Below are 23,759 nucleotides of genomic sequence, written 5' to 3' on the forward strand. Positions count from 1 at the left end.
TGTGTGCCAGACAGTTTTTGTTTTATTTCTCACAACCTCTCTATTTGTGGGTGAGACTTGCTCAAAGTCCCAAGTTAGTAGTTCCGCAGCCAGAATTCATACACATTTGTCTGACATCAGACCCCATCCTTGGAACTCTTACACTGTACTCAAAGTTCTTTAGCATTCATGTGGATTTTGACGAAAGAACACTCTAAAAGAGCTTGAGAACTTTACTTCTCTCTGCCTCCAACTTCCCAGTCACCCATGACACTCAGGTAATTCTAACTTAGCTGTTGAGATCCCAGTGTTCAGGCAAGAGAAGGTGCTAGCTACCATTGTAGGCTGTTGTCTAATTGTCTGTTTTGCCTCAGAATTGCATAACACAAATCACATTTAACCAGATAAAGTGTTTACTAATAAACTTGGAATTAACTGTGTGATCAGTTTATTGAGATTTACCATTTTGATAAAGTTTACCAAATTGAAAAAACATTTTCTGTAAATTGTTTAAAAATTTACTGAAGTGCATTATTGTAAAGGTATTTTTATACATTGGCATGATTTATAGGCTTTTCTTGAATAAGTACCTGTCGGTTAAAAAAAGTTGAACAGGCACCCCAATAAATGCCATATTTATATGTTATATACTACTGTGCCAATAAAAGTATATACATTACAGTCAACCCAAAAGAAATTGTGAAAGCATGAGATGTCAGTGAAGTACAGTATTTTTAATGTCTTGTCAATCAGATGGATTCATTCTATTATACAGTAACATCTCAAGGTGTAGTGTGTGTGTGTAGATCCGTATCTAAAATGGTCATCTTGGTCATTTCTTTCTTGATAATTTTATTTTTTTGGCCAATGTCTTGTCAGATCTGATCAGATCATCTTTGCATTTACTCCATATATGGCTGGTGAAGAATCCATTCTGGGAGTAGAAAAAATGTCACCTCTGCCATTTTCTTGTTTTTGCTTATGCTTAATTTGTTTTATTTTCACTCTTTGGTTTTTTGGCAGTGATGTTTTAAAACTACTTGTTCATTTCCTGCAGTTAGTTGAGCTAGATTCACAACTCAGACGCACACCTACCTGGGTGGATGTGTGCAACAGAGCTCAGTAAGCTAGCCGAGGTGTGTGTTATAGATGGTGCCTGGCCCCTGTGTACCTGCCTGAGGTAGGGAAACCAAACATTATACAGTACAATGTACTGTATAATGTGAAAGAATGATATTTCAGTTCTTAGCAGAGAACCGTTGATACAGGTGTTCTAGGCTATGTACTCAAGTAAGTAAGCAGAAAATAGCTTTTCTGGATTAAGAAGATAAAACCTGCAGGTATTTCCAGGTTGGCCGCCTTTTATGTTTGTTTGGGTTTTTTGTTGTTGTTGTTGTTGTTGTTGTTGTTGTTGTTTTGTTGTTTTGAGACAGGTTCTCTTGTACCTGGGCTGTAGTGAAGTGGCATGATCACGGCTCACTGCAGCCTGGACATCATGAGCTCAAGTCATCCTCCCACCTCAGCCTCCCAAGTAGCTGGGATTACAGGCACGCACCACCATGCCCAACTAATTTTGGTATTTTTTGTAGAGACGGGGTTTCACCGTGTTGCCCAGGCTGGTCTCGAACTCCTGGGCTCAAGCGAGCTGTCAGCCTCGGCCTCCCAAAGTGGTAGAATTACAGGCATGAGCCACCGCACCTGGCCAGCCCTCTTTTATGAAGCTGTTTTTCCCTGGCAACTAACAAGAACTGTATAAAACATAGTGCATATGTGTGCACGCAGTTTGCTTTTATCTGTGGAACATATTGTGTGTCAGAAGTGTGAAGTGACCCACAACTCAAGAAGTAAAATGTGAATGTTAGACAATAGTTAGTGATGAAAAATGGAGTTGTGCCGAGCCTCTTTCATCTGGAAGCACTGCAGAAAACCCGTGCAGAGTCAAGCTGTGGGCCCAGGGTGTGGTCAAGCCGTTCTAAGCATGTGGCAGGTAGAGTCAGCTCTGGACATGAAGGAGCTCATCTCCGTCTGTAGTGCATCTGAGCACTGGCTCTGCATTCATTTCCTCTCAGGTGCTAGTGTTGTGACTAGCTCTGTACTTTTGGAATTGCTCTCTAGTAGATGGATACAACACCTCCTCACTTTTTTTTTTTCATTTTAAAAAATATATAGGACTTCTTTATAATTTTGAGTGATCATTGGTTTTTGTAAGAGTGTTTCCATCTGTATCTCAATATGGTTGAAAATTAAACAGTCAAAACCAGTGTGGTATTCTAGACTGATGTTTTGGATTCTGAATGTTGGCACTAGCTCTACAAATAAGTGCTGGAAAGGTCTTAGACAAAACTTCGGTGTATATTTTTCTGTATGCAAAATGCCTCCTGATTTATGAGAAAGTTGTGAAGGTTTCCATGGATATTATGAGGACAAGTTAAATAAAATTCTTTTGAGCTGCTTTGAGCTTCTCAGAAGTCTAAAAGAAAACCAAAAAACAAAACATTGCCTAAACCTAGCTCTTCCTTTACTCACCATAGGGAGCTTTTCCTGTCCTGGCATCCCATGCCCCCACACCCTACTCCCACCCCTTCCCCACCCCTCAGTTACCCTTCAGCTTTGTCATATTCCCAGTGTGGCAACACTGGACTGCAACTTTCAGTATCTCCAGTGCCTGGCACAAGGTTAATGCTCAGCTGTTATCTGAATTAGAGTTTAGAGAGGATGTGGATGGAGTCACAGATTGGTTTTTCTTTTAATTCAATTGGGAGATAGTGTTGACTGTCATTACTGTTACAAAATTATTTGTATGAATTGAGGGAAGTGCAGACTGTCTGAGAAAACAAATGAAGACTGGTGTTCTGAATAGAGAATCATACTCAAAATTAACTGGACTTTCTCACTTCCCAATTAAAGGGGGTAAGATGCCAGCATTTTAGACATTATTGTTGGAATATCTTTGATAACTCAAAAACATTGTACATTTTGTTGTAGATCAGTTTTTTAAAGACATGTTTATTTGGAAGATAATGCCATATTAAAGGTCTGAACTAAGCTGTTAGCTTTCAAGCCTTAAGTTTAGAAAGTATACAGTGTACATTTTGAAATGGCAGTTGATTTTGTAAAAGGTCTTCAGGTTATTTTTGTAGCTATATCCAAAAATAAATGATGACTATTGGAGTTATTAGAAAGCAAATTATCTCTGTGCCAGAATGCTGGCTTTGGGAGTTTTTTTTTTTTTTTTTTTGACAACTTATGTTGGGAGAATAACAACCGATAACAGCACACAATAAACATCTCAATGATTTGTTTTGTGTTTACTTAAAACAAGTTTATATATTTATAGTCTTGTTCTCAAGTGGCTGACATGAACAGTAAAAGTGATACTGGAAAACTTGTGGGAATGAATATCCATCAATTGCCGGAACGCTGATGGTTAACTGGAAATTTAAGTCATTAAAAATCTTCCCAGTGGTTTGCTGTGCACTACTTGAGCTAGACCAGCTTTCTGCAGCCCACCTCATCCACTGAGCTCCCGAGCTCTGCTTGAAAGCAGGTGAGGACCCTAGCTCATTCCCTACTTGGTCTTCCATTCTACTGTTCCCCTTCCCAAGCTGCAGTCTGTCCTACCAGGATAAGTTCCTTGTGGTGGCCCTTTTTCTACAGTGAGTGTCTCCAGGGACACTTTTTCTTTTTGAGACGGAGTTTCGCTCTTGTTGCCCAGGCTGGAGTGCAATGGCGTGATCTTGGCTCACCACAACCTCCGCCTCTCGGGTTCAAGCGATTCTCCTGCCTTAGCGTCCCGAGTAGCTGGGATTACAGGCATGCGCCCCTATGCCCGGCTAATTTTTGTATTTTTAGTAGAGACGGGGTTTCTCCATGTTGGTCAGGCTGGTCTTGAACTCCTGACCTCAGGTGATCCGCCCGCCTCGGCCTCCCAAAAAGTAGAAGGAGCTGTTTCCGCCCGGTTTTGAACCGGGGACATTTCGCGTGTTAGGCAAACTTGATAATTACTACGCTATGGAAACCCTGGGACATTTCTAATTAGCCCTGCTTAACTAGTATTTTAATTTGGGCGTCTCATTGCTCAGGTATGTTCCTTTTGCCTTAGTCACCTAGATATCTTGTAGTCAGTCAGCTAGTTCAGGTTTCTAGCTAAAACAACAACAACTCTTCTCATTAGAATTCACTTGTGTGCGTGTGTGGCGTCTTTACATGTAAACTTAGGAACTGCATCTAGGTTTGAGTGGTTGGTGCCACTACCATGTGGCTATGGGATGTTGGACAAAACACCTAACCTCCCTAAGTCTCAGTTTCCTATTTTGGAAGATAAGAATGGCAACATTTGCATCATATGGTAGTTGGGAGAATCAAAAGCTCTTACCCACCACACTCTCCTAATGTCTGATGTGGAAATGTCAGTCTCCACTCATGCTCCGGCTCTCTTCAGTTTGCTGGAACCTTTCTTATGGTGAGTTCATTGTACTTTTAGGATATTGGATGTCCTTGAAGACCAGAATGTCTACTGCAATACAGATCAGCTTTCATTTAGATTTTTCTTCCTAGCAGCATCTCCTGTGGTGTTAAAAGATCCTGACTTCTGCAGAAAGATGGTAGAAAGTTCCATAGCCCTTTCATAAGTATTGAGTGATAGTTTCTAACCATACCTGCTTCTTAGGTTTGAAGTGTTCCATGGAGATGCTTGGAAGATGTTAGGCCAGGGATCTCTTTGGTGTATGTTACATTTTTTCTGTAACATATAAAATAAAACCCTTAAGAATAATGTATTGAGGATATGTACATGTATAATTAAGGTATAAAAATGCCTGTGAATTGGCCAGGTGCGGTGGCTCAGGCCTGTAATCCCAGCACTTTGGGAGGCCAAGGCGGGTGGATCACAAGGTCACGAGTTTGAGACCAGCCTGACCAACATGGTGAAACCCCGTCTCTACTAAAAATTCAAAAATTAGCCAGGCGTGGTGGTGCACGCCTGTAATCCCAGCTACTCAGGAGGCTGAGGCAGGAGAATTGCTTGAATCCAGGAGGTGGAGGTTGCAGCAAGCCGAGATTGCACCACTGCACTCCAGCCTGAGCGACAGAGGAGACTCTGTCTCAAAAAAAAAAAAAAAAAAAATGCCTGTGAATTAAAAACATGAAATATCCATAAGGTCATTTTTTTCCTCAGACAAGAAAAGATTGAGGTCTGAGAGGAATACAGAGGGCTCTGGATAGTACTGGTGATATTTTAAGCCGAATGAGAACATTTCATAGTAAATTTTTCTTTAAACTGTTATATATGTCATAAATATTGCCTAAGATTTTTAAGTTAAAAAAAAAGTCTATGGAGAGAGTTTAACCTTCTTTCAGCTTCACTTACCTGAAACAAGGTAATAGTCATGGCAGTACCTCCTTCTAAGATGTTTGTGGAGCTAAAATAAGCTATGTAAAATAATGTATGTAAAAATGACTTAAACTTATTGTTGCTGAAATACATTGTTTAAATTCACTGTCTAACAAGATAGTTTTTTCAGACGTATGAGAAGATGGAAGTAAAATATGGTCATTGTGGGAAAATCAGAAAATAAGGAAAAGTTTAAAAATCATTTATAACACACCTGTTGGGGTGATCAGACCCAACACCAGGTCGTGGGGGTGACGAAGTCCAGCGGAGTCAAAGGAATTAGAAAAGACAGTTTGAGAGAGAAAGTGGGTCCAGGGGGCCATCGCTAGTGTGTAGAGGCTGCGAAGGCCCCGAGCTCTGGGAGCCCAGACTATTTATTGGTGATCAAACAGGTGTTGAGAATGTGGGGGTCAAAAGGGCACCGTTGCATTAAGCACATGATTTACAGCTGTGACGGTTTAGCATATGCTCTGCTACTTGAGATAATGGAGAGCAGGTTCTTTTAACTCAAGATACAATCGATCCTGGGAGAGCAAGGAGCAAGGAGCAAGGAGCCAGCAAGTCTAGACACATTCCAGAGCCACGAGCCCTGGATTCTATCCAAGCCACAAGGGGTTTTTATGCCCTGGGCTGAGATTATGGTGCGTCAGGGTAGCCTTCCACCCTTTAGCACAGAGCTTGGCGTTCCAAAGGCCACAAGGAGTTTTAGACCCTGGATCCCGGACATGTTCCAAGAATCTTTTACATTATGTCAGACGTACAAGCCTTGCCTCGGCGTCTCCCAACACACACCACCAGGAACGTCTTAGTTTATTTCTCTTTAGTGTGATTTTATTTTCTTTCCTCAGAACCAGAACTAATTGATACAGTTGTTTTCTAGGACATTTTTGCATTGTAGAAGTATGACAGCAAGAACACATGCTTAAAAAGCAAAGAATGAAGTGGCTCCTCTGAGTGTTCCACCAGGTGCTCCTTGGGCAGGCGTCTCTCCCCTCTTTGTGTCCTCCCTGAATGCACCTGTTTGGTGCTTCCTGAATACTCATTGGCTGAGTGATTGACGGCCACAGGTGACAGCTTGGTTAACAGGTGCTCTGAACAAGAGAGAGAAGACAGAGCCTCTTGGACCCTGACCTAACCTTGAACTTGCTTTGTGACCTTAGGAAAGCTTATTCACCTCATTAGCCTACCTTTCCTCATCTGTGAGCCAGAGCACTAAACATTTATGTTTAGAGCTAAACAGATGTCTGTTTTAGCTCTAAATTAACTATTAATACTAATAACTACTAGATACACCAAGGGTATTTAGTTGAGAGTGAGTGAAAAGAAGTGATGAGGAAAAATGTGAATTTCACAAGTTTTCAAAGTGATTTGCAACCTCAATGAATAGTGCATGTGATTGAACATACTTTCCAGTAGAATTTTTACTCAGGAGTTTGCAGCTATGATGAGTGGAAAAGAATAGAAGTTAGAGTCATAGGGGGTACTATTCCACAGGATTTTGAGGCAGATGAATGCCTGAATATGGTCAAAAGATGAAAGTATTAACTGTTGGGTTTCCTCCAGACCGTAATTATAATGTAGCTCTTCAGCATTGTTTTATCTTGCTTTAATGGAAGAATCTTGCTGCCACTTAATAGATGAGAAGCATGGAATGGTAGTTTCGCATTCATATCAGATTTGGTGTGGAGTTCACTTTTTCCTAATTCAGGCCTGGCTAATAATATAAACTCTATCCAATAAGAAGATATATTATTTTCTGACAAAAAAGTTTGGAAAATACAGGAAGGAATGTGTAACTGTGTTTCCTGGTACATGTCCTAAGGAAGCTGGGACTAGAAGGTCACCCCCCAGCACATGCAGGTTCAGAACTGGTTAGAGGCACGGCGGTCCCCAGATTCCAGGGCTTTGACCACAGATCTGTTTTCTGAGTTCCTGTATTATCTCTAGGCCATTTCATTCACAGATTCTTGCCAACCAACTGAGATTAACTGAATTGTGTTTGAATGAGAACTGGATTTGTGAACATTCAAATGACAGAAATAAATTTGGCTATCTGAAAGTAAAATCTAAAGTTTTCTTCACATGTAGTTAGTGTTTCAGAGGGCTTAAGAGAAACTCAGTAATAGTAAAGACTACCCAACTAAAAATGGGCAAAGAATCTGAATAGACATTTCTCAAAAAACACACAAATGGCCACCAAGCACATGAGAAGATGCTCCGCATCATTAACCATCAGGGAAACACAAATCAAACTGCTGCACACTCACCAGGGTGGCTGTCATTTTTTAGAAGACAGGCAATAGCAAGTATTAGAATTTGGAGAAACTGGGAACCTCAGCCATTGCTAGTGGGGATGTAAGTTGGTGCATCATTTTGGAAACCAGTCCTGTAGTTCCTCAAAAAGTTGAACATAGAATTATCATTTGACCCAGCAACTCCACTCCTAGGTATAGACCCAAGAAAAATGAAACATGTTTATACAAAAAAAAAACTTGCACACAAAAGTTCATAGCAGTATTCATAATAGCTAAAAGTTGATGAACAGATCAACAAAATGTGGTCTCTCAATACAATGGAATGTTACTGGGCTATATTTAAAAGGTAAACACTGATACATGGTACAACATGGATAAACCCTGAAAACATGCTAAGAGAAGGAAGCCGGTCACAAAAGAGAACATATCGTATGATTCCTTTTATATGAAATGTCCAGAGTAGGCAAATCTGTAACAACAGAGAATTGGTTGCTTAGGGCTGGAGGGAAATATTGTGGGGTTGGTTGGTGGTAGCTAAAAAGTACAGGGCTTTGAGGGTTGAGGTAGATGTTCTAAAACATATTGTAAAGGTTGTACAACTCTGTGAATATACTAATAACCATTGCATTGTACACTGACAATGGGTGAATTACATATGTGAATTTTGTCCCAATAAAGCTGTTATCCAACCCCTTATCATTTGAATCAGTTTTAACATCTTACTCTTGAGAGAGAGAGAGGGAACAGATAACGGTTAATCATCTTTCAAGAATAGTTTAATAGAACAAAAGCTACAAAGTTCTCAGTCTGGTGTGGAACATTTGTGTGACGGAGCGCAGTGTACCGTATGGGCCGGGACTGTGCAGAAGGTGCTGCACGCAGAGCAAGCGGGAGTGCTTGGAACTTCAGGGAAGGCTTTACTCACCAGGCGGCAAGGGGCAGAAGGGTGTTCCTGGCCAAGGGTGGCACGAAGCATGTGGTGATGTTGCTTTTTAAGTTACAGAGTTGGGTAAGGGGTGCAAGTGGTGGGAGACAGGTCTGGAAAGGGAGATTACCTTTCAAAACATTTATCTTTTATTAAAGAGGAAACTGTATATGTAAATACTGTGCTGAAGCAGTCTTTATCTTCTGGAGTTTTGAGTTTGTGAATTAATAACACAGAGCTCTCATTTGCTGAATGTTTGCGGTGTGCCTGGCCCCGGTCTGAGGTCCTTTCTTAAGATACTCCTCACAACTCCGTGAGGGGTGTGCTACCATGGCTTGCGTCAAGCAGACGAGGAAAGGGGCAGCAAGAGGGTCCTGGTGGCCACAGCTGTGCAGCTGGTGAGTGAATGACGAGGCCCGGAGTCAGAGCCAGGCAGCCAGACTCCAGAGCCCGCCTTCCTCACCACTGACCTCCCGGTGACATCTCTGGGGGCAGCAGTCTGCAGAACCATTGTTCTAGTTGAATTTCTTCCAGCCTCCTTTTCAGGGTGCTTTTGGTTCGTTAAAATGACCACATGTGTCTACAATTAAATTGGCAATCACTTTGTTTTTCTTGCACAATTGTAGTTGTTGCTGGTTCACTTAATAAATTGCAGAATAAGAAGAACAGAGTGGTGATAATCACAGGGATTTCTTCCTTGAGCTGTGTGTATTTAGTGTTCATTCAAATTACATTTGTTTTAGGTTGAGAGAAATCCTTCTGAATAGTGATGACATTGGTTGTTCCCTGAGATGGCTTCTTGTGTAAATCTATCAACACCCTTTGGAGGGCTCCTGACTCAGAAGATGAACGTCCTTGGGATGGGCAAAGTGATGCTTGTTTTGCCTTCCCTAAAAGTAGTTCTAGGTGTAAGAAGTGATGTGACTGACTTAGGGCCTTAGATTATGGCCCAAATGTAGGCTTTCTGCAGTTCTGCCCTATGTTTTTTTGTGTAGATTTTCCTGCCTTTAATAACTTCACTGATAATAGTAACACTCTAAAATGAGAGAACATGTCTTATATTGGAGAGGGTAATAGGTTGGTATCTTTTTGAACCATCAAAGGCCTAGGTCAAAACTAACCCTTTCCTCTGACTTCTTAGTCAAAGAACATACACTTTAGCTAATACCCCAAGACAGAAGTTCTTTGGTGCTGAGAGTCAACGAGAGTCACATTCTCCTTGAAAAGGGAAGGGAAGCTCTATACCTGGATAACTGCGCAGATCCATGGCCCCATAGCACAAAATTCGGGCAACTGAGAACCCAGCTGGCCCCCAGCTGGTAATTCCTCAACATTCTGGTGTGTCCTAACATTGCCAAATAGGCTGGAAGGATTTAGAGAACAGGAAGTAAGCTACTGGGAGATAAGGCTGCAGCTGTGAATTATAGACAGGGGAGGAAATGAGAATAACAGCATTAGCAGTTTGGCTTTATTTTTAAACCAAAAATCACTGGAAAGATTTCTGTCTCTAATTTAAGGGTGTTACTCACCTTTTCGTTTATACTAGTTGGAACTCTTAGCAAAGTATGTAAATGGGACTATGTTTCCATGTACTGCTGCATCTCAACTGATTAAGAATCTTTTTTTTTTTTAGAGGTGGAGTCTTGCTCTGTCGCCCAGGCTGGAGTGCAGTGGCATGATCTCGGCTCACTGCAAGCTCCGCCTCCCGGGTTGATGCCATTCTCCTGCCTCAGCCTCCCGAGTAGCTGGGACTACAGGTGCCCGCCACCACGCCCAGCTAGTTTTTGTATTTTTAGTAGAGACGGGGTTTCACCGTGTTAGCCAGGATGATCTCAATCTCCTGACCTCGTCATCTGCCCTCCTCTGCCTCCCAAAGTGCTGGGATTACAGGCGTGAGCCACCGCACCTGGCCACTGATTAAGAATTTCTAAAAGATGAAATTGAGTCTGTGAACATTTCGTTTATCCAACAATGGCAACTGTGTTGTCATAAGACCAAAAAATCTTCAATTTCACATTAGAAATCATTTAAAAATATGTTTTGCCTCCACTCTTTTGTGTTTGTGTCATGCTGTGACTGTGCAGCCTTTTTCATGGAGAGGTTTGTTTTTGATGGATATTAAAGGCAAAAATGTAAATGTGGCTAGCCTCTCTCCTCTGGAGTATGACATCTTGTCATCAAGTATTATTTTACAGAGAGAGTCATAGTGGATGAGTATTCATTGGTATTACATTTAAATAAGGAAATAATTTAAAAACTGATCAGTCATGAACATCGTGTTCTTAATTTGTCATGTTCTATTCCACAGTGGCCATTCTGAAGTACATGAGTGACTATGGGCTTAAATAACTAATGTGTTAGGGACCAAATTGTAGCCACATGCACATTTGTGGATTCTAGTGCTTGGGTCAAATCATTGGCAGATCTGAAAGATGTCTGTGAAGTGGGCTTTTATTTACCATTTGGAAATCCTAAATTTTATGACATGTTCAATGTCATTTAAGGACTTTTGTTGATGTTGGTCTAACTTAAAAAAAAATCAGTAATTCTAATACAGGATTTTTTAAACTAAGCTAAAAAAATGAATCTGGGTTTGTTGCCCTGCTCCCCACATGAGTTGAGCCCCCTCCTTTGTCTGTGTACAAAGGACTGTATTAATGTCTGTTTAGGAAACTGAACTCCAGGGAGACAAGATGTCCTAATCGCGGTCCTTGGCACCTAACAATGTCTGGTTTATCATAGGCAGGCAGGCAGTATATGCTGTTGTTCAAATGCCTTTGGGAATTGAAAGTAAACTACTTGAGGGAGCTGCGGTGGCTCCAGCCGGTTGTCCTGGCGTACAAGGAGGCGAGGCTATGCGGTCGAGGCCAACTTAGGTAAAAGTGAAAAAAAAAAAAAAAAAAAGTAAACTACTTGAAATAGTTTCCAATACCTTCTATATAGTTCAAAGATATAAGTTAACAAGGATTACAACTTCTAATGATATATTATTGTTTGCACAATATATTCATAATTGCTGTGTGTCAGTATTCAAAGGTGAACATGCCTCTGTCCTTTTCCTCAAGCAGCACAGACCTGTGGGGGGTGGGTGGTGTTCACAAGCTGATAGTTCTGTAAGCACTGCATCCACAGAGCTATGACTAGAGCAAGGAAGAGGGTCTCAACAGAGAGGATTCCGCTAGATGGGGCCACCTGGGAGTTCTCAGTGTCCACATCCATGCAAGGTGAGCCATCAACTGGATTCAGTTTTTCTAGTGATCACCAGGTCTCAAAAGATTGCAACCTCACAGCTGCCTCTGATTTTTGCAGTTTTAAAAAAGAGCTATGATATTCTTCACACTTTAAGTGGGTAATAATTTCTCTTGAAAAATTTGATTTTATTATACATTTTACAACAAGTGCAGATAACACCAAGTGTGGCCAACCAAGGCTGCTCAAGGCACACTAAATCAGGTGATTCCTGGGGGTTCCTCCTAGCCCTCTGGTGCCCTAGACACAAGTTTAAAGACCTAAAATCAGGTGTGTCCATGGCATCGCTTTGAGAAGTCCCGGGGTTTATGTGTTGGTCTGAAAGCAGAAATTGTACTTTGGACAGAGGGTGTGAGGAGGGTCCTGGGCACTGTGGAAGTCTTTAACTATCAGTCCTTTTTATTTTCAGATATAAATTAGAATTTGGAAACCATTAACACCAGTGCCACATGTTCACAACTATTATAATTAGCTATTAGGCACAAAATGCTGGGAGTAGACAAGGGTTCAAATCTTCTTTTATTCATAGCAAGAGTACTCTTGCCTGGTTAGTAATAGCTCTTATTTTATTGATATATGTCAGTATCTAGCTGCATGTCTGGAGGTTCTGACTTCCCAGCTGGAACTTACCTGAGAACAACAGGTGTGTTTCATAGCCACCAACTCAGTATTAGTCACATAGCATGAATGTAAAAAATGTGTGCTGAATGTGTCAGACTGAATTAATTCATGATTACCAGGATGGGCCAATCAGGAACAGCCTCAGGGAACATTCTCCAGGGTGAGCCCTGCCGTGTTGGTTTGGTGGCTCATGGTGTCCGGGGACCATTCCATAACCCTCAGTCCCTCGCTACTTTTACTGGGCCCTGTGAGGCTTCCCTCAGACTCCTCCGGCACTCACCTATTCTCAAAAGCCACCTAGCCGAGTTGCTACCTTTTTAGATAAGTGATCAGAATTTTTCAAATTAAAAAACAAAGTTCTTATACTCAGAAAATTTGAAGCTTATAATTTCTTGTTATTTCCTCTGTGATAAATCGTAAACAACTTAGATTTTTCAAGTATGTATTTTTTTTTCCAAATTAACCACATTTAGATGATTTAGATGCTAAACTATTCAGAAATAAGTTAGATACGGAAAATTTTGCTTCTGGAGGAAAATGAACCTAAATAGTACTCACCCTTTCCTCTTTCCATACTAAATAAATAATACCCTGATTCAAATCCATAGTAAATGTTGTTAAAATAGTTTCCCCACAGCACAGGACTAGCAGATGAAGGACCATCTGAGAGGCAGGTGCTGGGTGCGGATGGGCCCCAGGTCGCCTCTTTGTTTTTGTAGTAGTGGGCATGTTCGCACTGTCTCTCATTGTTAGGAAGCCGTGTCAGTGGGGCTGGTTCCCTGTGGACTCTCGTGTGAGCTCTGTCTGTTCCCTGCCCTGATCCCTGCATTCGCCCCCAGTCTTCTCCCTTTATTGACTGCATTCTAATTAGTTCAAGTCTGATCACATCACAGAAATAATCCTGGCCCACAGATTTATTTCCTGTGGTAAATGTCTTCTTGGTGGTTTTCTAGGTTGTGCTGGTGAGGTGGAATGAGCCCTACCAGAAACTGGCCACGTGCGATGCGGACGGAGGCATATTCGTGTGGATTCAGTACGAGGGCAGGTGGTCTGTGGAGCTGGTCAACGACCGCGGGGCGCAGGTGAGTGGCAGGCGCAGCTCTGCCAGTGAAGGGCTGCGGGGTAGAGGACTCCCAGACAGGCATTCCGGAGCCAGTGCGTTAGCACCACACAGCGCCACGTGCTCCAGAGCTGGGGGAAGAGAAATCAATCAAATTAGAATCCTACTTTTCATTTCTCTCACATATGTCACTGGATAAAAAGAGTACAGGATCATGCCCCCTTTTCAACCATGCTGCTGTTGTGAGAACTCTCCAACTTTCAAACTTTAATCAGATCTGTGAAGTCATTTTTTACCCTTCAGTGTTGTGATTCCATGTTAAATTTGGGGCCTCTGGCATATCACTGTTTTGCCCCCTTCGAAAGGTATCTTCCCTGTGTTGTCATCTCAGCGGTCTCATGGAGAGCTTCACGTGACTTCTCACAACCTGCTCAACAAGGAAAGGGTGCTACAATCTCTTCCACAGGCTTCAATCAGCACGGCCTCCTGTTGTCATCCTCCAGCTCTTCCTTTCTGACACAGTTTGTCTCTGCTCTCAGGAAACAGTTGCACCCAGGACAGCCTGCTGAGCTGCGCTGTTTCTAGAACTGCTCCATAGATTGTTCTGGTTTACAGGACGGCTTCATGGTGCACCTTTTGTATGGGTTTAAGGACACACATTGGAGCAGGCAGCTCCCATCCTGGGGATTGTACAAAACTGGGACTTAAGAACCTGAATCCTCAGGGGATGTCAATTAATAATTAATGAGGGGTTTCTTGGACTATTTTAACTCTCAGAATGATTTCCCTGTGGCTGCCTTTCTATACACTTCTAAGGTACTTGGATTCTCATCCTTCCCTCGCCCACCTGTTGCTTAAATAAGCTGTGAGCTTCCTAAGCTACAGATCAGTCAAGTGACATAAAATTACAATGAATGAAGACATTATTGTCAGCGGCTATTAGCAGGCCGAGGATTTCTGTAAGATATCATCACAGAAGACCCTGTGTGAAAACAGCATTTTTTTCTGAGTTGATTTGGTAGAGTAAATGTAATAATATTGACTGACTGATAAGGCCTTACCAGTTTCCTTCAGGCTCCTTCAGAGCCTGCCCCTTGACCATTAACTGGCCTTCTTGAAGGAGAGCCACAGATGTAGACATCTTCATGTGAGTGGACATGTGATTAAGAGCATGAGCTCTGGAATCAGACAATGTAGGCCGGAAATCCCACCCCATGACTTCTGTGTGGGAGATACTTGCCTGTGCCTCAGGATCACAGAGGATTACATAAGACTGTATATGAAAAGTGCCCATGGCACCGCTTGCATCTTATCACAGTGCCTGTAGCATGTGGAGGTTCTACCACCTTGTCTGGCATGGAACTGCCCTGCCCTGAAGCAGTAGCCATAGGTCATCACCAAAGATGAGTTTCAGGCCTTGAGGTAGCAGCTTTTCTTGGTTTCTGTGAAATGACCGCCTCTCCGAGTTGGCCTGTAAAGGTTCTAAAATGCTGTCATTCTTCCATTAACTAAAGCATGGGATTCTCTTCCCTAGAAAGGCCCAGTGATGAGGTGAGACATATCTTCAGATTTAGGGTGGCCAGAGGACTTGAAATCACTGCTCAGAAAAGGAAATGGAAGGGGAGCAAGGATAAATGCCAAATGAGTGCTTGATTTTTTCATGCGTTATATCTTTCAGTCTCCAGGAACCCTGTTCCAAAAATATCATTATTCTCAGTTAATAGAAGAGAAGAATCCAGGTCAGGAGTTGAGTAACTTGTCCAAGGAAGTTCATGGGTGGTAAGCCAGAACTCAAACCCTAGTTTGTTTGAGTCTGTAATGCTCCACCACACTGTCATGTTCCCAAACAAGAAATGATTTTCTCTTTTGGCAGAGATGCGTGTATTCATAGTGTAGTTACATGCTGCATAATGACGTTTCAGTTATCACAGACTGCATATACGACGGTGATCTCATAAGGTTGTAATGGAGCTGAAAAATTTCTATCACCTAGTGACACTGCAGCATGACACATGACTCGTGTTTGTGGTGTTACTGGTGTGAACAAACCTACTGTGATGCCAGCTGTATAAAAGTATAGCACATGCCATTAGTACAGTCCATAATGCTTGATAATAACAAATGACTATGTTACTGGTATTTACTGTACTTTTTATTATTTTAGATAGAGTGTGCTTCTTTTTTTTTTTTTTTTTTGAGACGGAGTCACGCTCTGTCGCCCAGGCTGGAGTGCAGGGGCACGATCTCAACTCACTGCAAGCTCCGCCTCCCGGGTTCACGCCATTCTCCTGCTTCAGCCTCCTGAGTAGCTGGGACTACAGACACCCACCACCACGCCCGGCTAATTTTTTTTTGTATTTTTTTTTTTTTAGTAGAGATGGGGTTTCACCACGTTAGCCAGGATGGTCTCGATCTCCTGACCTCATGATCCACCCGCGTCAGCCTCCCAAAGTGCTGGGATTACAGGCATGAGCCACTGCGCCCGGCCGCTTCTACTTATTAAAAAAAAAAAAAAAAGTTAGCAGTCTCAGGCAGGTCCTTCAGGAGGTATTCCTGAAGAAGGCATTGTTATCATAGGAGATGACAGCTCCGTGGATATGTTACTGCCCCTTGTGTTAGGGTTCTCTAGAGGGGTGGAACTAATGCGGTAGATGTATATATGAAAGGGAGTTTTTGAAGGAGAACTGACTCACACGATCACGAGGTAAAATCCCATGATAGGCCGTCTGCAAGTTGAGGGGCAAGGAAGCCAGTGGTGGATCCGTCTGAGTCCCAAAACCACAAAAGTTGGGAAGTTGACAGTGCAGCCTTGAGTCTGTGGCCGAAGGTCCAAGAGCCCCTGGCAAACCACTGGTGTAAGTCCAAGAGTCTAAAAGCTGAGGAACTTGGAGTCTGATGTTGAGGGCAGGAGGCATCCAGCACGGGAGAGAGATGAAGGCTGGAAGACTCTGCAAGTCATTCTTCCATCTTCTCCTTCCTGCTTTATTCTAGCTGCGCTGGCAGCTGATTAGATGGTGCCCACCCAGATTGAGGGGGGGTCTGCCTCTCCCAGTCCACTGACTCAAATGTTAATCTCCTTTGGCAACACCCTCACAGACACACCAGGAACAATACTCTGCATTCTTCAGTCCAGTCAAGTTTGACACTCAGTATTAACGATCACACCCCTGAAGACCTTCCAGTGGGACAAGGTGTGGAGGCAGAAGACAGTGATATGAATGATCCTGACCGGGTGTAGGCCTAGGCTAATATGTGTCTTAGTTTTTAACAAAAACATTTAAAAAGAAAAAAAAAATTAATAGAAAAAGCTTACAGCATAAGGATATAAAGAAAAACATAATTTGGTACAGCTATATGTTTGTGTTTTAAGTGTTATTACAAAAGGATCAAAAAAAGTATCAAACTTCTTGAAAAACTGAAAAGTTTAAAAAGTAAAACAGTTACAATAAGCTAAGGTTAATTCATTATTGAGGAAAGAACCATTTTTTTAATGAAATGAGTGCAGCCTAAGCATCCAGTGTTGATAAAGTCTACAGTAGCTACAAGGTAATGTCCTAGGCCTTCAGTCACTCTCCACTCACTCTCTGGCTCACCCAGAGCAACTTCTAGTCCTGCAAGCTCCATTCATGGTAAGTGCCCTTTTATAGATGAACCACTTTTTATCTTTTATACTGTATTCTTACTGTATGTTGTCTATGTTTAGATAGCTTTAGATACATGAATACTTGCCATTGTATTACAGTTGCCTACAGTGTTCAACACAATCACATGTGTACAGGTCTGTAGCCTAGGAGTAGTAGGCTGTCCCATACAGCCTAGGTGTGGAGCAGGCTCTACTGTCCAAGTTTGAGTAAGTGCACCCTGTGATGATCACACAACAAGGGAATTGCCTAATGACATACTTGTTAGAATGTATCCCCATTGTTAATCGACATGACTGTATACCCCAAGGAGCTCAGGCTTCATTACCATTAAAAGGCCCACCCTACCAGCCAAGCAGTGCCACCAGCACATGGATTCTCCTAGCAGTAGCCTCTGTGAGCAGGGGCCCTCTATCATCTCCATAGCAGCTGTGCAGTCACCACCATCCAACACTTCCCTTGTGTTTCTTTCCATTGAGGGTTTGGAGCAGATATTAGAAACAAGAAAGGGAGAATGAGTTCAGCCCTGGAGGCAAATGAGCTTCCCTGGGCCACAGAACATCTGGAAGCACCCAGAATCTCATAAATGCCTGCCTACCAGGTTTGACTAAAGTAATTACTGTATGTTGTGATCTCATTTTAGAGTTTTGTTTACTTTTGCCATTTGGAACTCAGATTTTTCAAATCTTAGAACCCACTGAGCAACTGTCATCATTAAACAGTGGCATTCTGGGGGAGGCTTGGTTGCCTTTAATCGTGTTGGAGTCAGATCTTACCCGACTAAAAAGGACACCACACACTGGTGACGATGGATCACTGGTCAAGGAACTGGTGGCTTTCTGCACCTGGAAAAGTTCTGTGGCTTAGAAGAGGAGTGTCCTTGAAACCAGCTCAGAGAAAAAGACTACTTTTTAGAAGAAATGACAGATTATTTTCATTATATAGCATGCTTTTCATTGTCACAAAGTAATCAAACATTTGGCAAAAGCTAAGAGATGCTTTAACAATTTCTTTTTCAGGAAATGATTAAGAGTCCTTTATTTCAAAAATGAGTTTGGAACAGTACATGCATTATTTTACAGTATTAGTCACCAGGGGCGGCTGTACCAGGCACACACACTCTGAGACAGTCTGATGAAAAGCTGCCTGGGTCAATGGCATGGTCAGCCTGCTGCTCAGCTTCAATTAATCCATGCCTGAGAACTCTTTAGTAAAGCAAGAGCATTGCAACCTTCTGCAGTTGAAAAACTAAAAGAACTGGAGTTTCTGCCTTTTTGTGTGTGTGTGTTTTTTTTTTTTTTTTTGGGAGCGGGGGAGACAGGGTCTCTCTGTCACCCAGGCTGGAGTGCAGTGGCGCATCTTCGGCTCACTGCAACCTCCACCTCCCGGGTTGAAGCAATTCTTTTGCCCCAGCCTCCTAAGTAGCTGGGATTACAGGCATGCATCACCACACCCGGCTATTTTTTTATACTTTTAGTAGAGACAGGGTTTCACCATGTTGCCCAGGCTGTTCTTGAACTCCTGGGCTCAGGTGATCCACCCGTCTTGGCCTCCCAAAGTGCTGGAATTGCAGGCATGAGCCACCACTTTTTTTTTTTTTTTTTTTTAAGCAATTCGATACTTGGTTTTCTCTGGTTTTGTTTTTCCAGTTGTGATATAGTCTTATCACATTATGTTGACCTAATAAACCCAAATTGAGCCAAGTGGCTAGTTGGGAGACTGAGTCAAGAGGATCTCTTGTGACCAGAGTTCAAGATCAGCCTGGACAATATAGCAAGACCTCATCTCAACAAAAATAGTTTTAAAATTAGCTTGGTATGGTTTCACAACCCTGTAGTCCCAGCTACTCGGAAGGCGGCAATGGGAGGATTGCTTGAGCAATCCATTTGAGGCTGCAGTGAACTATGACTGTGCCACTGCACTCCAGCCTGGGCAACAAAGCAAGACCAAGTCTCTAGACAAATAAACAGAAACCCAATTAGTCCATGTGAACATCCTCTATTACCAGTTTTTTTGTGTGATGTAAAATTGCTGGTATCTCTAAGAAGCTTCATTTTACTGGCTATGTGTTTTGGCTATGGATTAAGGAGATTTCCCAAAATAGTTTTCTCTTTTAGTACAAATCTTTTTTAAAATACATAGTTAAAATGCATGTAAGTAAATAGCATTATCTTTGCAAAATGAAAGAGCTTTTTATTTTTATTCCAGAATGTAATGCGTTGTTTCTGAAAAACATTGTTTTATGTTAATGAGAAAAACCAGACAGTATAATTGGTTGGAACATAAAGTCAGTAAAGCCAAGGTTCTGAGTTTATCTGAGGAAACAACTTTTTTCAGTAATCTCAGACCAGCTATTCAAGAGCTATCTCACAAACCATGCCATTGTCATGATAGAGACATTGCTGATAACACAACATAAACCCATAACCCCTACTTGAAAAACAGCAAGAAGTTCATGTTCTTTTGGTGTTTGTTCATTTATTTTCTCATTACCTGAAATGTAATATATCCATTAATACCATAGATTTTTTAAAAAGCTAAATGTTTGTAGCTATAAGCAACATTGAAGATTATAGATAGCATTTGTTTTGTTAGATAAGATTAAAAAGAAACACAATGTAGGACAAATTGAAAAAGTAAACCAAGGTGGTAGAAAACAGGAACAAATATAATGCTAATTAGAATAAATGTAAATGGATTAAATTTACCAATCAAAAGATACAGCTTAGCAGATTACATTTGTAAAAATCTAGATAACAGTATATCTTGTTTAGAGCCACACCTCAAACTTAAGGACATAAACACATTTAAAGGATGAGAAAGATGTATCTTGCAAATACCAAGAAAAAAAATAAAGCTGATGTAGCTGTATGTTAGTATCAGATAAAGTAGATTTGAAGACAAAGTATTATTTGGTTCGTAGAAGACAGAAAGGATTATTTGGTAAGCTGTAGTTTACCAAGAGCATATTTTAAATATGTATACACTTATTAATAGCATCACAATAAGTGAAGGAAACTAATAGAACTGAAAGGAAAAATTGATAAATCCATTGACATACTCAGACATTTTAACGACAGTCAGCAAAGATGTAGATGATCTGAGCAACACAATTAACAAGCTTGACCTAAAGGACATTTATAGGTTCTTAATTCACCAATTAGACAACATACTTTTTTCTCAAACACAGAAGGGTTATAAAAATTGATCATATTCTAGGGCAGGATTCTGCAAACCTTTTCTGTGAAGGGTCAGATAGTAAATATTTTAGGTTTTGTGGACAAGGAGCCAAAATTGAGGATATTATATAGGTATCATATAACAAGAGGAAAATCAGATTTCCAAAAGATTTTTATTGACAAAATTTAAAATTTGATTTATGAACACTGAAATTTGAATTTTATGTAATTTCAAATAACAAAATATCATTCTTCTTTTGATTTTTTTCTTCTCAACCACTTAAAACCATTCTCAGTTTGTGGGCCATACAAAAATAGGTGACAGGTCAGATTTGGCTCACAGGCCATAGCTTGCCAATCCCTGTTCTACGACTTAAATAAAAAACAGATTTCCAGTGTCAGGCATGATGATTATAGACCACGATCTCTGAACACAGTGCAACTGGGTTAGAAGTTAATAACGACGAGATAAGAGATCCCTGTCTGTTTTTTGTTTTGTTTTGTTTTCTGACCGAGTTTCATTCTTGTTGCCTAGGCTGGAGTGCAATGGCGCCATCTCGGCTCACTGCAATCCTTGCCTCCCGGGTTCAAGCGATTCTCCTGTCTCAGCCTCCAGAGTAGCTGGGATTACAGGCACCCGCCACTACACCTGGCTAATTTTTGTTTTTTTTTAGTAGAGACGAGGTTTCACCATGTTGGCCAGGTGGGTCTCAAACTCCTGACCTCAGGTGATCCACCTTCCACATCCTCCCAAAGTGCTGGGACTACAGGCGTGAGCCACCTCGCCCGGCCTATTTAGGCATTTTAAAATATATTGTTAAATAGCTCATGGTTTACAGAATATGTTTAATAGACATTTATAAAATCCTAGATCTAAATTATAATGAAAACATGTCAACAAAGCGTCGAACTCTGTAAAATATTTGAAGAGATTTATTCTGAGCCAAACATGAGTGACCATGGCCCATGACACAGCCCTCAGGAAGTCCTGAGAACATGTGCCCAAAGTGGTCGGGCCGCAGTTTGGTTTTTATACACTTTGGAGAGGCGTGAGACATTAATCAAATACATTTAAGAAATGCATTGGTGGCCGGGCGCGGTGGCTCACGCCTGTAATCCCAGCACTTTGGGAGGCTGAGGTGGGCGGATCACGAGGTCAAGAGATCAAGACCATCCTGGCTAACACGGTGAAACCCTGTGTCTACTAAAAATACAAAAAAATTAGCCAGGCGTGGTGGCACGCGCCTGTAGTCCCAGCTACTCGGGAGGCTGAGGCAGGAGAATGGCGTGAACCCGGGAGGCGGAGCTTGCAGTGAGCCGAGATCGCGCCACTGCACTCCAGCCTGGGCCACAGAGCGGGGCTCCGTCTCAAAAAAAAAAAAAGAAATACATTGGTTTGGTCCAGAAAGGCAGAACAACTCAAAGGGGTCCGGGAGGTTCCAGGCTATGGTGAATTTAAATATTTTCTAGTTGACAATTGGTTGAGTTTGTCTGAAGACCCGGGATTGATAGAAAGATAATGTTCAGGTTAAAATAAAATTTTGTGCAGCCCAAAGTTCTTTTGCAGTCTTATAGTGGCTGTCCTTAGAGACAGTAGGATGACAAATGTTTCCTATTCAGATTTTAGGTAGTCTCTTTAGAATTGGGAGGGTCTGGAATCAAAAGATCTAGCGATGTTAATAGAGATTCTTTACAGATGCAAATTTTTCCCCACAAAGAACAGCTTTGTAGGGCCATTTCAAAATATGGCAAAGAAGCACGTTTTGGGGTAAAATATTTTTATTTTCTTGTCTTGTAATGTTACGCCAGAGTGAGGTTGGAAAGTAAATCATGATATATAGTGTTAAATAAAACCCAACCTATGTGATGAGAGTTTATGATTTGTAGGGCATGACTCCCCAGACCCCTTAGATAGGAATTTGGGCAAGGTAAAAGAATAAGAATTTAGTCCTTCATTGTATACCGGAATTTGTGAGATATGATTAAAGTGGTGCTGTGAGAGAAATGTATATCCTTAATTACTTATATTAGCAATAAAACTGTGATCATTGGTCAGATAGGTATTTATCTTAAAATATTATTAATTGAAAAGGAGAGTAAATCCAATGAAAGAAAAAGTAAGAAATAATAAAAATGAAAGTGAAAATTAGTACAATAGGGAAAAATGATAAGGTAGAGATCAACAAATCCAAAAATTAGTTCTTTGGAAACAAATCAACAAAATAGACAGATGTCTTGCAAAACTGATCAAGAGAAGAACACAGAAATAAACAATTTTATGAATGAAAAATTGGGCATAGCTATAAATAGAGATTACAAGGTAACCAAACGTAAATTATAAGATGCAGGTAGTTCAATGGGGGAAAGGTAAATCTTTTCAACAAATGGTGCTGAAACAACTGAATATCTGTATTTTTTAAAAAGAAAACCTTGATTCTTACCTCACACCGTGCATAAAAATTAACTCTAGATGAATCAGAGATAAGTGATACGGCTCCAGTGAGTGGAGGAACACCAGGGTTCTTAATTCTCAGGCCAGTTTAGACAAAACACGGACACATGTGGAGCGGTTTTAAGGAGCGGAGAGTTTAATAGACAAGAAGGAAGCGGAAGGCAGAAGGAAGAGGCTCCCCCATACAGAGATAGAGGGAGAGGAGGCTCCAAAGCCGAAAGAGGAGGTCCCCAAGTGCGGTGGATACCAGCCAGGTCTATATGCAGAGGCTGAAGGAGGCGATGTCAGATTTGCATAGGGCTCAGGGGATTGGTTTGACCAGGCATGTGATTCACCATGTAGCCTGCGGAAAACGCTGGCCCTCCCACCCCAGCCTTTAAATATGCAAATGCAGGACGCCAAGGATGTTCCACACACGTGGGGATATGTGGGGGCGGCCATGTTGCCAGGAACACCTGGGACAAGGGCCGGAAGGCGCCCGAATCGCCATGTTGGATGGACCCAGTTTCTAATGGTCTGCATTTGCATATCAAAGGTTGCTAGCCTGGCTCTAAGAAACTTACAGGCTCACGCCTGTAATCCAAGCTCTCAGGGAGGCAGAGGCCGGAGGATAGCTTGAGCCCAGGAAGTGGAGACCTGCCTGGGCAATACAGCAAGACCCCTTCCTCCACAAAAAAGAGGGGGGGGGGGGGAAAGAAACCTTCCCAGGACCCCTTTTCCTCTCTATCTGCCTACAATAATAACTCCTGCAACGTAAGTGTAAAAGCTAAACCTCTAGAAGTCTTTGCAGCCTGGGGCTAAATAAAGATTTCTTAGACTGGATGCAGAAAACGTGATCCATAAAAGAAAAAACTTGATATTAGACTTCATCGAAATTTAATGATACGAAGTTACAGTTAGACAGGAAAATAAGTTTTGGTGTTCTGTTACACAGTAGAGTAAGTATAGCAAATAACAATGTAGAGCATATTTCAAGATTGCTAGAAGAGAAAATGTTAAGTATTGT

At 41.6% G+C, this 23,759-nt stretch overlaps 1 protein-coding gene across 14 annotated transcripts in view, besides 1 other annotated feature; it reads left to right on the top strand.

Moving 5' to 3' along the window:
• Positions 1 to 23,759, top strand: part of TULP4 (TUB like protein 4) — a 279,634-nt gene that overhangs the window by 167,496 nt on the left and 88,379 nt on the right. For all 14 annotated transcript variants that reach the window (XM_047419082.1, XM_047419087.1, XM_047419084.1 and 11 more), the window contains one exon: positions 13,375 to 13,503. In XM_047419082.1, the coding sequence (XP_047275038.1) occupies positions 13,375 to 13,503 (129 nt within the window). The remainder of the gene's footprint in view (positions 1 to 13,374; positions 13,504 to 23,759) is intronic.
• Positions 12,211 to 13,410: an enhancer, noted in NCBI's record as "CDK7 strongly-dependent group 2 enhancer chr6:158832933-158834132 (GRCh37/hg19 assembly coordinates)". NCBI's record gives its function as "activates an origin of replication core promoter dependent on BRD2, BRD4, P300/CBP, MED14 and CDK7 cofactors, with strong dependence on CDK7, by STARR-seq in HCT116 cells {active_cell/tissue: HCT116}" and the evidence as "EXISTENCE:reporter gene assay evidence [ECO:0000049][PMID:35650434]".

Source organism: Homo sapiens, chromosome 6 (assembly GCF_000001405.40).
Source record: "Homo sapiens chromosome 6, GRCh38.p14 Primary Assembly".
In the NCBI taxonomy this organism is placed as follows: Eukaryota; Metazoa; Chordata; class Mammalia; order Primates; family Hominidae; genus Homo; species Homo sapiens.